Source organism: Homo sapiens, chromosome 7, assembly GCF_000001405.40.
Source record: "Homo sapiens chromosome 7, GRCh38.p14 Primary Assembly".
Taxonomy (NCBI): Eukaryota; Metazoa; Chordata; class Mammalia; order Primates; family Hominidae; genus Homo; species Homo sapiens.
In genome coordinates, this window is record NC_000007.14 from 18,114,310 (window position 1) to 18,128,274 (window position 13,965).

Consider the following 13,965-nt stretch of genomic DNA (forward strand, 5'->3'; position numbering starts at 1 on the left):
TGGCTACAATAGAGTTTGGGAATGTGAATATTTAGCTTTCCCACATCTATATTGGGAGACAGCAAAGGAGAAATTGGTAGAGAATGACTGTTGTTAGCCAATTAGTAGTGTTTGCCAAAGGGGATGATCTCAAGTCCTGTCTAGCTCCAACCTTTGCATTTTTACTATCAGTTGAATGCTATTTCACCTGGAAGGCTACCTTTTTAGTCCTTACCTGCAGGCCTGGGACAAACTTTGTTGACCTCCATCTAGACTATTTTTAATTAATAAGTGAAGACCTGACACAATTCCTTCTGGCGGAGAGGATCCATTCTTCAATGTCAATCTAGATGGAGCAGTCCAGGAAGTAACCCCAGACTTGAAAGGGAACCAATATTAATGACATCTCATTCTCAAGCATGGCTGCTGGGAAGGCTTCTGTAAAAAAGATAAGCAAAGAGGAAAGTGATCTGAGAATCTGCCTGATAATACTTTTTATATCTGAACGATTTAAACAAATATAGCTGCATACATTGCTGGGTGGTTTTCCGTTTTGTGTGGGACTATATATTCAGACTTCTTGTTTGAAATATGTTAGCCTCTTCGCAGCTAAAAAATATTAGAAACGAGTGAAATTTAAGGCAACCATTTGTTCATACACTCCCAGGGAGCATAGAGTATAGATTAGAAGTGTATAAGTATATTTCTAAAAAATTCATATGTCCGGGCACAGTGGCTCATGCCTGTAATCCCAGCACTTTGAGAGGCCAACGTGGGAGGATCACAAGGTCAGGAGATCGAGACCATCGTGGCTAACACGGTGAAACCCCATCTCTACTAAAAATGCAAAAAAAATTAGCTGGGCTTGGTGGCGGGCGCCTGTAGTCCCAGCTACTTGGGAGGCTGAGGCAGGAGAATGGCATGAACCCGGGAGGCAGAGCTTGCAGTGAGCAGAGATTGTGCCACTGCACTCCAGCCTAGGTGACAGAGCGAGACTCTGTCTCAAAAAAAAAAAAAAAATCCATATATGGATCAATCTTGCAGTATTCACATTTGCAAAAATATAATACTTCTGATCTTCTAGGCAAGTGATAATTCTTTTAGATTTGTGAGAATATTTTTAGATGACAAAAAAATTGGTTGCACAAGTGCATGAAAAGCCAATGATTATGTTATTTGCAAAATTACATTCCACCATGAAAATACAATGAGATATAAGTTTTTCTGAAAATGTAGTAGATTCCAGTATTGGGTTAAGTCATTTACATTTTATATTATTTTATATCCTTGAGGGAGTTACTATTATTTTCTCCTTTTGAGGAATTTGATGTTCAAATCGGTTATTTGACCAGTGTTTCAGTGCCAGTAACTCATAGCAGCTATACTGTGAAACCAGGCAGTTTGCCATACCTGCCAGCTGTGGACCTGTGCTCCTAGTAATAATAACAATTAGGCATTATGCCAAAGATTTTATAGTCACTTAATCTATTATTCATTAAAATCCTAGAAGCTGATACTACTATCATCATCCCTGTTTTAAAGCTGAGAATAAATAGTATTAGAGAGATTCAGTAGCTGTCTCAATTTTTTGCAGCTTCCAGGGCTAACCTGTGGCTTCAAACTCAGGTATCTGACACCATGTGGACCCTAACCACTTCACTACATTGATACTTAGTTACACGTTGAATTGTATCTCTATAGTTTTCTATAAAATGTAGTGTTTATTTCTATAGAGAAAAATTCATCCACGTTTTGAAATTCAAGAAAAGCCTTCTCATGTTTCTCAATGGTTTCATGCTGAGATAATTTTCCTGTGTTAGATCAAATTTGCTAGCAATTTTCGTGGTGTATGTTAATGAAAATTTGATATGCATTGCTTTGTTTCTTGCATATATAACCATAATTTAGATTAGTTCATTTTTTAGGTAATTGAATTTTTGAGAATAAGAAATAAATTTATATTAGAAAAATTCCAGAATGAGAAATTGGACACAAATTCTAGCAATTGTGAAAATTATGCCTGCTTGGAAAAGTTACATTTTATGTTACTTGCTAAAATTTTTTGAAAAGGATAAAGTGATCAATTTATCTGTCAACTATCACTTTGATTAAATGATATTAATCAAAAGTACTGTGTATTCCCTTATACTGTGAATTATGATTGGGAAAAATGTGATTGATATTCAGTGTTTAAAAATAACCTACCTCTTTATAGAAACAGCTATATGAAATTATAGTTCATTCTAGATCAATAGTGCTTTGGTTTTGGTTAACATATGTATCACATAAAATATATATGTTTTGGTTAACATACGTATCAAATAACATATGTATCAAATAAAATAATAAAAATTTATTTTTTTATTAACAAATAATAGAGTTGATTTAATAAATCAACTCTATTATTCTAGGCAGATTTCATAGCCTAACTCCCCTTCACCAAATTCAGTGCTGTATTTCATAGTGATTGACTCAGAGGAGAAAGATCTGTGACTTCTATCTTGCTGCATGACCTTGGGGAAAATTGGCTTAAATGTATGAAAGGATATTTCAGGCATTGACTCAGACTAAATAAATGTGCTAAATTTGATACAGTGAGTGGGAAATTTTTCTCACCACATGGAACCACTAATGAGCTTGGGAAGTAAACATAGTTAAGTAGGCATAGTTGCCTTTTTGTTACAATCATTCTGAATTGGTCCATTAGCCTGAATAACATTTCAATGAACTTCACATTTGTAGCTTTAGGATTGACCAAACCAAACCGCAACATTATAAACTATTTCCAGGTGAGAGGGTTGTAGTGGGTTGAATTGTTTTTCCCCAAGAGGTCTGTTTAAATCTGAACCCCTGGTACCAGTGAATGCGACCTTATTTGGAAAAAAGGTCTTTGCCGATGTAATGAAGTTAAGATGAGATCATACTGGAGTAGGGTGGCCTATCAATCCAATATGACTGGTATCCTTATAAAAAAGAAGAGAAGGTCAGGAGATCGAGACCTTCCTGGCTAACACGGTGAAACCCCATCTCTACAAAAAATACAAAAAATTAGCCAGGCGTGGTGGTGGGCGCCTGTAGTCCCAGCTACTCGGGAGGCTGAGGCAGGAGAATCGCGTGAACCTGGGAGGCGGAGCTTGCAGTGAGCCGAGATCGCGCCACTGCACTCCAGCCTGGGCAACAGAGCGAGACTCTGTCTCAAAAAATAAAATAAAAAATTAAAAAAAAAAAAAAGAGAAGAGATAGAGAGACTGAGATCCCCGCAGGGAAAACACCATGTGACATCAGAGGTGGAGACTGGGATGATGCAGCATTGAATTGATGCATTGGGATGATGCACCCACTGAAGAATGCTAAGGATTGCCTGCCACCAGCAGAAGCTAGGAAGAGGCAAGGAAGGACTCCATCCAGAGTCTGAGAGGGAGCGTGGACCTGCTGACACCTTGATTTCAGACTTCTGGCCTTGAGAACTGTGAGAAAATAAACATCTGTGGTTTTAAGCTGCCCAGTCTGTGGTACTTTGTTACGGCAGCCCTAGGAAAGGAATTCAGAAGTTGAGAATGGAGAGACAATGGAGAGAATGAAGAGTCAGCAGCAGTGGTAGTGCTCCCTGGATTGACTCTTTCTCCTGTAGTTCCACATCTTTCCTCCTCTCTTATGTTATTATCATACACATTAGACAACTGGGCTCTGTTTCCTCCCCCTTCATCACTTACAGATCTCTCTGAGTCTCATTTGCCTTGTCAGTGTGATGAGGATCTTAAACTCCTCTGAGTAATAATAACAACCAACATTTATGGGAGTTTAACCCCATAGTAAAGCCAGGGCTCAGGGTTAACATGCATTCTTTCATTTACTCCTCACCAGAATCCATGAGGATTATATTGTTATTATCCCTACTTCACAAATGAGCCAAGTAATCACATTTCTCTATGACATCTTGCTTTCTCTTGCCTTGTTCCTTCAGAGACTTGAACATGAGAGTCAGAACTGGAATATTGTCAGTCCTTATGGTTCCTTGATGGGAAATATAGCAGATCCCTAACTTTACTTAATCTGGGTAGAATGGGGGTGAAGGCCATTGGAAAGGAATGTTACATCAACATGTTGTGTTTGTCTTGGCCATGTCACAGTTTCTTCATGTATAGAACATAGAAATTTTTTATAAAAATTCTTTCTTCATTATATTTCCCCTATTTTATTGGGGAAAATAATTTTAATATAACTCCCTTATTTTCTAGCTTGCTTGACAATTTCACTGTCTGAGCTACTTAGGATATAACAGAGGAATTTAATGATATAGTTGCTATTATTGACATTCACCATGTGCTAGGAACAGCATTATGTACAGCAGACTATCAGATGGGTGATATTATTACTCCACACCCTACAGTCCAGGGCTTAAGAAAGTAACATGGTCCAAATTACTAGCCTTCAAATCCTTGTCTATTTTGTATCCAGAGCCTATTTTTGTATATTCTTTTTAGGGAAAGCCATTACTACAGTGACATGGATTAATTTATCAGATTAATGCTGAACTTGGAAGCTGGACATCTGGGCTTTAAGAGAATATTGGCCAAGAAAGGGTAGTATGGGAAATCGGAAAACACCTGAAAAGTGGCATGCTGAATGCAGGTAGCTTAGATTTAAGACGGCATGAGTACCCCATTTTTGTCAGCATGGGGATATCAGAGTTGAACCTGGCTTCTTTCAGAATATTTTATCTGAAGCTCTTCTAGAGTTAGACTAATTTCCTTAATTACCATAATTAGGGCCAAGCAAAAATTGGATGTTTCCTGTTTCACTTTTTGGTTGCTTATTTTCTCTGAGTCAAGAACATGATAACAAACTTTACACTCTATTTCTAACATGGACCTTTTAGTAAATGGTAGGTTACTATAACAGAAAAGATGCTATATCTGAAATCAAAGTGCACCAGTCCATTGCATGCTCCATGCTATTTCCTTGCAAGTCTAGATACTGTCACATGCCTGTAATACTAAATAGTCTTAGAAAATACAGCAAGCAGCAGTGTTGGAATAGGTCTTAGAGGCAAAACTGATCTGACCAAGCAATGTATGTTGGTTAAGTGAAATATGAAAGGCAGTCTGTTCTATCTCAGCTGAGGACATTTGCCATAGAAAATGTTTGTTATGGCACAGTAGAGAGACCGAAGCTACCAGTTTCTTACCACCAAACTTGTCTTGGTTGAATTTGTCTCCTGTCTTCTAAACTCTAGAGAACTGTCGGTCTTCTGAAGAACTGTTCAGCGTAGTGAAGGAAACAGGAAGAGAGATTGAGGAGCTTAGCCAGTTGATCAGAGGGATTTAATGGGAAAACACACTTGGATAGTGAATAGACACTGGAAAATCTGACTGTCTAATTTGGATTTTCCCAATATACCTGTCATGGTAAAGTGAAATATCTGTTGGACTGAAAGTAAGTGTGTCAGTTATTTTGGTCACAGCTCTGCTACAAATTGACATTATGACTGGGAAGTGGTGGTTTGTGCCCATAACTTTCTCCGTGAGTCAAAGCTGTGGGATTTTACATCCTTTCAACTTCTCTCAAAATTCTTTTCTACTTAAAAGACCATAGGTGTCATATTGAGAATTCATTTCATCAAGTATTGATCAATCCTTGGGGTGTTTGCCATGATCTTGTCATGCTTTCCATCTTTGCCACCAAAGAATGTTTTTGGGGGTAATGTATGGGAAGTTTGAAATGTGAATTATATCACAGTTTGTATCTGGAAATCAGTGTCTAATAGATAATGATGATAGTGACTACTGTCTAGTAAACATTTACTACTGGGTAGAAAAGTCACCAGATTCTCCACAGGAGAAGATTTTGCTCCCTTGGGACATTTGGCAATGTCTGGAGACATCACAACAGAAGGGAGGAGTGCTACTGGCATCTAGTGGGCAGAGGCCAGGGGTGCTGCTCAATATCTTACATTGCACAGGACAGCCCCCCACAACAAAGAATTATGTGGTCCACAAGGCCAGTAGTAGTAAGGTTGAGAAATCCTGCTTTACAGCTTGTTTAATAAATATGCATGCTGATCATAGAGGATGTTATGCTCATCTTGTAGCTGAGGTTCAAAAGGGTTAAGTAAATTCTTCAATGTCAAGCCATTCATTAGAGACGGAGCCAGCATTCCATTCCAGTCTGTAAAGCCAATTGAGGGATGGTCCCCAAACACAAACCTTTTCTATTTTGCTGCTTTGGGAAGTTTTCTTCATCCTCGTTTCTTCATTTTTAAGATAAGAAGATCTGTCCTTTACCAGAAGTTTGTAGTAGTATATTTGGGTGGGGGTAGGCAGCGGGGAGAAAAGACAGGGGGTTTGGAGATTTTCAAAAAGTTGAGGTATTATGCTTAAATGTAATATTTTTGGCAAAAATCTGTAGTCATAAGCAGTGTGGGTGAAATACAAAGTGTATATTTAGACTTTAGTGTTGCTCATACATATGCATTGTTTTTAGATTAAGAATGAGAGCTTTTAGTTTTTGCTTCTCTTTGTATCTTTCAAAAGCAATTTGATTTGCTCTTCTCTTGGGCATGATGGTGATTTGTAGAGCTTGCTGGTTGTTGAGAAATCGAAGACTCTTTGTGGGTTCTTAAGGATGAGAGTTTACTTCCACACTGGCAGTAAGGTAGATGTTGGGTTTTGGACTTAGAGCATAACAGAAGACATAGAGATGAGAGAATGGCCAAATTGCATTTTAGAGAAAGAAGTGCGGAGAACCCCATGAGAAAACTGTGTTTTACTTACATCTCTGGTCACTGATAAATCTCAATTTTGGGACAAATCCTGACAGATAAGGAAGGTTATTGGAATGTAAGAGGTAAGAAAAAGTTAATTTAAATTATTTTATTTGAAAACTTACATTTTATGAGTGGGAAGTGTGGTTTAAGGTAATTGGCAAGACTCCCTCCTCTAGAATATTAAATTTTTGTCAAAACTGCCTTTTGAATAGAGTATTTTGGGACTTGCACATTGAAAAATATAGGCAGTTGCCTTGTGTAGGGCTATACTTGCCCGTAGAGTTTTACACTTCCACAGGGTGTCGGGTTTTGTTCTGGAGACTTGTGGCAGCAGCTTTAGCTGCTTTGTGTGATAATCAGCACACAGAGCAAAGGCACCTCAGTAATTTACTGGGTGTTCATTCTGTCAATTGGTAGGTTTAATAAAGAGAGAAAGGACAGGACATGTAGCTAATACAGCCAAGGTAAGGTGAGCACCATAAGAATATGCAAAAAAAAAAAAAAACCATTGAAATTATCTATAAAGGAGTTGAAAAAACAGCTTTTAATCAACATTCAATAATTGAACCTTTTAAGGGAGCAGTACACAGAGATGTGCTCAGTGTGGCAGTCAAGTTAACCGAAAGAATGAATTCCAGCTTTTCAACGTGAATTTCAAAGCATCAGGAACACTGAGGCCTAAACCTTACTGTCTTATACTAACAAGAGTCTTACTGTTTTATAATAACTACATTCTTTTTACAGGCATTACTAATGATTGCAATTTATTTTTAGATAAAAAAGGTTATTATTGAGAGTAGGATTAGACACTCTGAAACTCTTAACAGTTTACAAAGAAGAGATGAAGAGATCTTGAGGAAAAGATGAACTTTTCTATGTCATATCCAACCTTGATTTGAATCGGAATTATTATTTTGTGTTTCTTTTTCAACCTTTTATGAAATGAAGGCATTCTTGTATTTCTTCAACATGCCAGTTCCCCAGAAACCAACTTCAAGATCCATGGTATCAGCAGAATTTAAGTACAAGTAACAGTAATTATAGTATTGAAAAGCCCCCATAGCATTCAATCATAATATTTTATTTAAGGTTGGGAGAGCTTAAGTTAATTCATTTTCACAAGCAGTTGAAAGATTGTGGTGGAATTGACTTTCTTTAGAGACCATATGCATATTTACCAGTTGAATAAACTCTGGTTGTCAGTTATGTGTGTAGGTTGGTGAGAATATGGATATGTTATATGAGGGCAGTATTCTTGTAGCGGGAGAAGAAGATGTAAAGTAATGGAACTGACAGTGAGTGCCTACTGGGTTTCAGACACAGCGCTGGGAAATGCTTTGGTATGTAGTTGTCACAATGTCTCTGGGACCTAGATGATATTATTTTCATTTTATAGCTGAAGAAAAAAGCCAAAATAACTAGGAAGTATTTTTCCTACTATATCCTTATCTGAGTCAAGAAATGGATATTTTTTTTGATGTATATGTTTAGTGGGGGCAACTTTTAGTTGTTGGTTGACTCGAACACAGAATTCTAAGGATTTGGGTCTATCATTATTTTTAATTTTTGTGGTGTTGTTTTTGAGACAGAGTCTTGCTGTGTCCCCCAGGCTGGAATGCAACAGCATGATCTCAGCTCACTGCAACCTCCACCTCCCAAGTTCAAGCGATTCTCCTGCCTCAGCCTCCTGAGTAGCTGGGATTACAGGTGTGTGCCACCATACCGAGCTAATTTTTATATCTTTAGTTGAGATGGGGTTTCACCATGTTGGCCAGTCTGGCCTTGAACTCCTGGCCTCAAGTGATCTTCCTGCCTCAGCCTCCCAAAGTGCTCAGGCATGAGCCACAGTGCCCAGCCTGGATCTATCATTACATACAAAGATTTCTGCTAGGGTTTTTTTCTTTATTTGAGGGCAAATAATTCATATACTTATTCAAATTACTGCTTTAAATATTTCCCAATGGCCCTAAAGAGACATTGGTTGCAGTGACAGGTTTTGGCACAATGGGTGGTTATTTCCTAATAAATAGCCCAATACCTATTTAATTTGTAAAGTAATTCCTTCCTCCAACAGAAAATTACTTTAAAATGGAAGCTGGTAGGCTATCTTAGTTCTAATTTTGCATTGCAAGTTGGTACTGCAAGAGGTCACAACCCCCTTTTATTCAGAGCTATTTTATCTAAAATGGTAAAGGAACATTTATCAGTTTAAAAGCCAGAACTCCAAATGTGATTTTTGCAGCTGATAACTCAGTTTCATGCCTAAGTATTTTAATTATAAACAAATATGTAACCCCCCGATTTAAAACAGGTGGCATTCAAAAGTTCATTTGGAACAGAGTCGTATGAAATTTGAAACATTTTTCCATAGAAACAATGTTAGGTTTCCAGGCCAACCCACAAAAGCCTATTTAAACCATATCGTACAATTTCTGCTCTAAAATCATCACGGGGCCCACACAACATATATAATAATATTTCTATTGGGAAAATGCATTTGGAGTTTAGCTTGGAATAGACTAGAATTTCACTGGAGTAGAACTGGGCATTTTAAAGTCCTCCTGCCATTTTGGCAATGAGGATCAGCATTTTTTCCCTAAGATGTATCTTTGGTTCCCATGACCTGGGGTGAAGCAGTATGAAGGCTAGGGCAGGCAACAGGGTGTCTTCCAAGGGTGAATTCATGATTCAACATGCTTTTGGCTACAAGCAAGAGACTATTGAACTTGAATACTAGAGTTAATTCTCTCACATAATAAGTCTAAAACAGGCAGTTTAAGCAGTGGTTAATTTAACATCTCATTTAAGTCAGGGTTCTATAAACCTTTATAACCTTATAGTTGGAAGATGTCCACCAAATATGTAAGAATCTTGTCTGTACATAACAACCTCCTAAAGGAGAAAGAATGAGGGGTGCTATCTTAATCTTACTAAATAGGAAACTATTTCCCAGAAGCCCCACCTCCAGCAGGTTTCCCTTTGCATACCATTGGCCAGAACCCTGACTCACAGCCTGCCCCAAACTAAACACTGGCCACCAAGAATCAGATTGTTAGAAGTGGCTTAGAGTCTAAGTTCTAGTTGAAGTATAGTTCACCTTCGGGGGATAAGCAGGTGGCCACCTTCTGTCATCACTTTGCCGAGCTCATTTGGAGATCTGTAGACAAATAAGAAGGTGGAATATCTGTTGGGTGAATGTTATCTATGTCTTTTACGGTCTGCTTCCATACAGCAATAGCCTAGGGCAAGGGCAAGGTCAGAAAAATTTTAGCTTTCCAAGTGGCTGTGTGATCTTGAAAAAGTCATGTGCTTTTCTTCTGCAGACTCCAGTTTCTATAAAACAAGGAGGTGGGATAGATTTGTTTATTCCTCAGTTTATTCATTCAACAAATGTTAATGAAGCACTTACTTTATTACAAGCAGTATTTTATGCATGGAGGTTACAATAGTGAACCTTCCAAAGTTCTTCCCAGATATCTTATGTTTTTACATGATTCCATGTGAGAAGCTGTGGTCCTGGTAAAGCTATGGGCGTTGGTGTAGGGATGGTGTGCACCCGTGAGGCCTTCTAATACCGTCAACTCTAGGGGGAGTTTTTGGACGTCATGGGTTCATTTCACTTTATTTATTTATGTATTTGTTTATTTATTTAAGAATCCAAGAGATTGATCTGGTTCCTTCCATTTGCCTTGCCCCCAGCTGCTGTTACTGACAGGGTTTCTGCTTTCCATATTGCCCATTCTAGAGCAACACACAACCTCACTGCATTTTTCTTACACTTCTGCCTCTGATCCCAAAAGGAACAGATGACTGATATTTTCTCAGTTTTTCTTTCTTTCTTTTTCTTTTTTTTTTTTTAACATTGTTAGCAACAGAGGAAATAGATGACAGTGGTTGTTGGGGGAAGCTTCTCTGCCCTTCACACTTTTTCATCCTAGCACTGTAGAGAAAGATAAAAGAACATTAAAGCAGAAAGAGTGTGTTCTTGAGTCTGTAATACTGAGGTATTATCTTCTTATATTTTTGATAAATAGCCAGATTTGATGATGAGGAGGGAGAAAGGTGTGTTGGAGGAAGTTGACTCGTGGCTGAGAACAGCTGCAGCAGTCCTGGGGAATGAGGGTACCCCCCCATCTTTTACCCTTTGTCTCAGCCATATCAATTCCTGCCACCCGGGACACTGCCTAGGACAGGCTGCAGTGCAAGTGAAGATCAAGGACTGGAGAGGGGAAGGGGCTGTGAAGGCAACATCAAAGGTTTTGGGGCTGTGAGGGGAGATGGCACAGAGATCCTCTGTTGAGACGCTGAGTTTCTAGGACTTTCCTGAATCTCTTTTTTCCAAGGGAATGTATATATACACTAACACATATATATATGCGTGTGTGTGTGTGTGTGTGTGTGTTAAATGGAGCAACAAGATGAGGACTGGCTCATGATATATATGATTTGTTTCTTAAGTGATGATAAAATAAATTCTGAAGTACTGTGGTGATTTTAATGACAACACTTTGGAAACCTTTTGGGACATGTAGACAGGGATTACAGTCTGTGTTATCTACTTATCTATCTCAGGGGTCGGCATACCATTCATATTTACTATCAGCAAGATAGTAAATATTTTAGGCTTTGTGGGCCATATGGTCTGTGTTACAACTACTCTGCCCTTGTAGCAGAAAAGCAGCCATGCACAATAGCTAAGCAAGTTGGCCGTGTTCCATTAACACTTTAGCTATGGACAACTTCCTTGTGTTTCCTTCAGTTTCATATAATTTTCATGTGTCATAAAATATTTTTCTGTTGAGTTTTTAAAAAACTATTTAAAAATGTGAAAACACTCTTACTTTGTAAGTGGTGCCGAAACAGGCCTACAGGCTGTAGTTTGTCAACCCTGAGTCTATCTGGCTATCATTTGTTTATTTGTTGGTCTATCTACCTGTATGTTTTCCTTCTTCCTTCTTTCATCTAGGAGAAGAAATCTGGTTCCATTAAATTTTGTATGAGAAATTCTTTCCTATTTATATAGTCAACTACTCTAAACACTTACAAAGGGGATAGAGAATAACTGATTTATTGGATTTCTGGTATTGATTCGCTTGTGTCCTGTGGTTGAACTTGTACAAGCTTTATGTATTATTATTATTTTAAAATACTACATTTAGCATTCTTATAGCCAATTTAGAATAATTACTTTGTAAAAGATCCTTGAGGAAGTACATTACATCTAATAAAAAATTATCTTGGATCTTGTTAAGACTTGAAAACCCCAGGTGAATGATAGCGTTGGGTCAGTTTTTACATTCTGAATAGAGCACGTGTTTTTTCTGAGTCAGACAGGCAAGACTTGGATAGCTGTATATTACTGTTTATGAGCCTTATCCTTTCCTGCAAATCAAGTGTTTATTCCACTCCTGAACTTAATTAGCAGCTAAGAGCTTTGTGCTTTGTATTTTAAGGAAGCATGTGATTTGTTCATTAGTTCAAAAGCAGATTAATTATTATATCTTTAGTCACCATCTGTAAACACATCTATATTGGTGAGCTCTCTCCTGCTGAGTTACCTTGAAATGCCCTGTGGTGTTTTATTAGCTTCAATTCTGTGTTTATTACAGTTGGCTGGAGATTTTTCAATTTAGTTTATTGGCCACAGAAAGTCCAATCATTCTGTGGAAACTACCAATTTCTGAGAGTGAGGGGTTTACTAGTGCTGGCTGTCAATTTGCTCTAAACATTTTCCCCAAATCAAACTGTATTTCTGTTTGGATTAAAGATAGTAGTAGTTTGATTATAAGCTAAGATTTTAAGCACCCTATATATTGTCCGCATTCAAGGAAGAGCAATTGGGATTAAAATTAGTAATCTGCATGAAAAAGTATCTTTCTAATCCAAGTTAGCTCCAGACAAAACTGTGAAGTACGTGAACGAAAGAGGATAAATGAATAGTTATTGATGCCTGGGCATTTTAATATTATCTAATTTTGGTTTTGCAGCAATGCTGTTAGGTTCCAAGTGATTCTCAGAGAATTTAAAGAACTTGCATAAGATCATTGATAGAGCTGGGATATGAATCAATATTAGTGTGACTTGTGAGTTTGTGCTTCTCTTCACCAGTGTCTAGATTGTCAGAAAAAAATATAGGACACCTAGTAATATTTGAATTTTATATTATCAACAAATACTTTTTTAGCATAAGTATGTCCCAAATATTGTTGTCCTAAATATTGTGTGGGCCATACATATATTACCAAATTATTTGTTGCTTATCTGAAATTTATATTTAAGTGGGTGTCATGTTTTATTATTACTTGTGAAATTTGGAAACCTTAGTAGTGTCCCTTCCTTCTCTCTCCTTCTCTAGGCATTAAGTCTGTCCAGGAACCCCTTTATCTGCTTCCCTGCTCCCTCTGTACTTCTGGCTTTGGCTTATTAACCCCATTCTTTGCTTCTTTAGTTTGCAGTTTACCTGCTCAGGTAAACTTAAACATTAACTGGGGACCTTATTCTCTCTGGTTTTCAAAGTGTCTAGTGACTATTTTAAAAAAGGAATAGGATTAGCCTGTTTGTCAGAGCTAATGTCTTCAGTGATTATATTTTTCAAGTTATGTATTTACTTAACACAGCCATGCTTTAATGCAGGGTAACTCTAGAGGCCAAAATTTTTAGACCCTGTGCAAAGAAAAAGAAGAGCTTAAGACCATTCTTTTAGTTATTCTGATAGGGTATTTTTCCCACAGAACCTGTTGGTGACTTTATGTTTTTAATTTTATCTAAAATTTGATTATTATTATTATTCAGATTTCTTTTGCTTTTGATTCTTGTATACTAAACAAATTTTGAAGACAATTTTCGTGCATTTAAAAAAAACTTTATAAAATACTTTTCAAAGAATTAGTAGATGATTGAGGTCTCTAACAATTCTTAAACTATATTTTCACTTAGTAAAAGGTAACACTTTTACAATACAATTTTTATTTCTTGAGTAACAAGAATACAGAGGGAAAAGTTACGGTTCTCAGTATCCAACCATTTAGCTATATACCAACATAGTAGCAGACCAGACGCTTCTCAGTGAAGCTAATCCAAGCCAGCACCTTATGTTCTCTGCCCAAACTCTAGGAAACTTGTACCTTTACCAAAAAATCTCAGAGACTGGCTTGGAAACCACTGGGTAAATCAGTAGGATTGTTTTATTATCTAGTTACCTTAAGGACTTTAACTGGGGC

The 13,965-nt window shown here is 37.5% G+C and overlaps 1 protein-coding gene and 1 non-coding gene across 8 annotated transcripts in view; one reads left to right on the forward strand and one right to left on the reverse strand.

Moving 5' to 3' along the window:
- The window catches only part of HDAC9 (histone deacetylase 9), a 915,592-nt gene that overhangs the window by 27,485 nt on the left and 874,142 nt on the right, over positions 1-13,965 (forward strand). The gene's annotated exons all lie outside the window — the stretch shown is intronic.
- MIR1302-6 (microRNA 1302-6) lies at positions 12,911-13,000 on the reverse strand. The gene has a single exon (NR_031635.1). It is a non-coding gene; the product is annotated as a microRNA 1302-6 (primary transcript).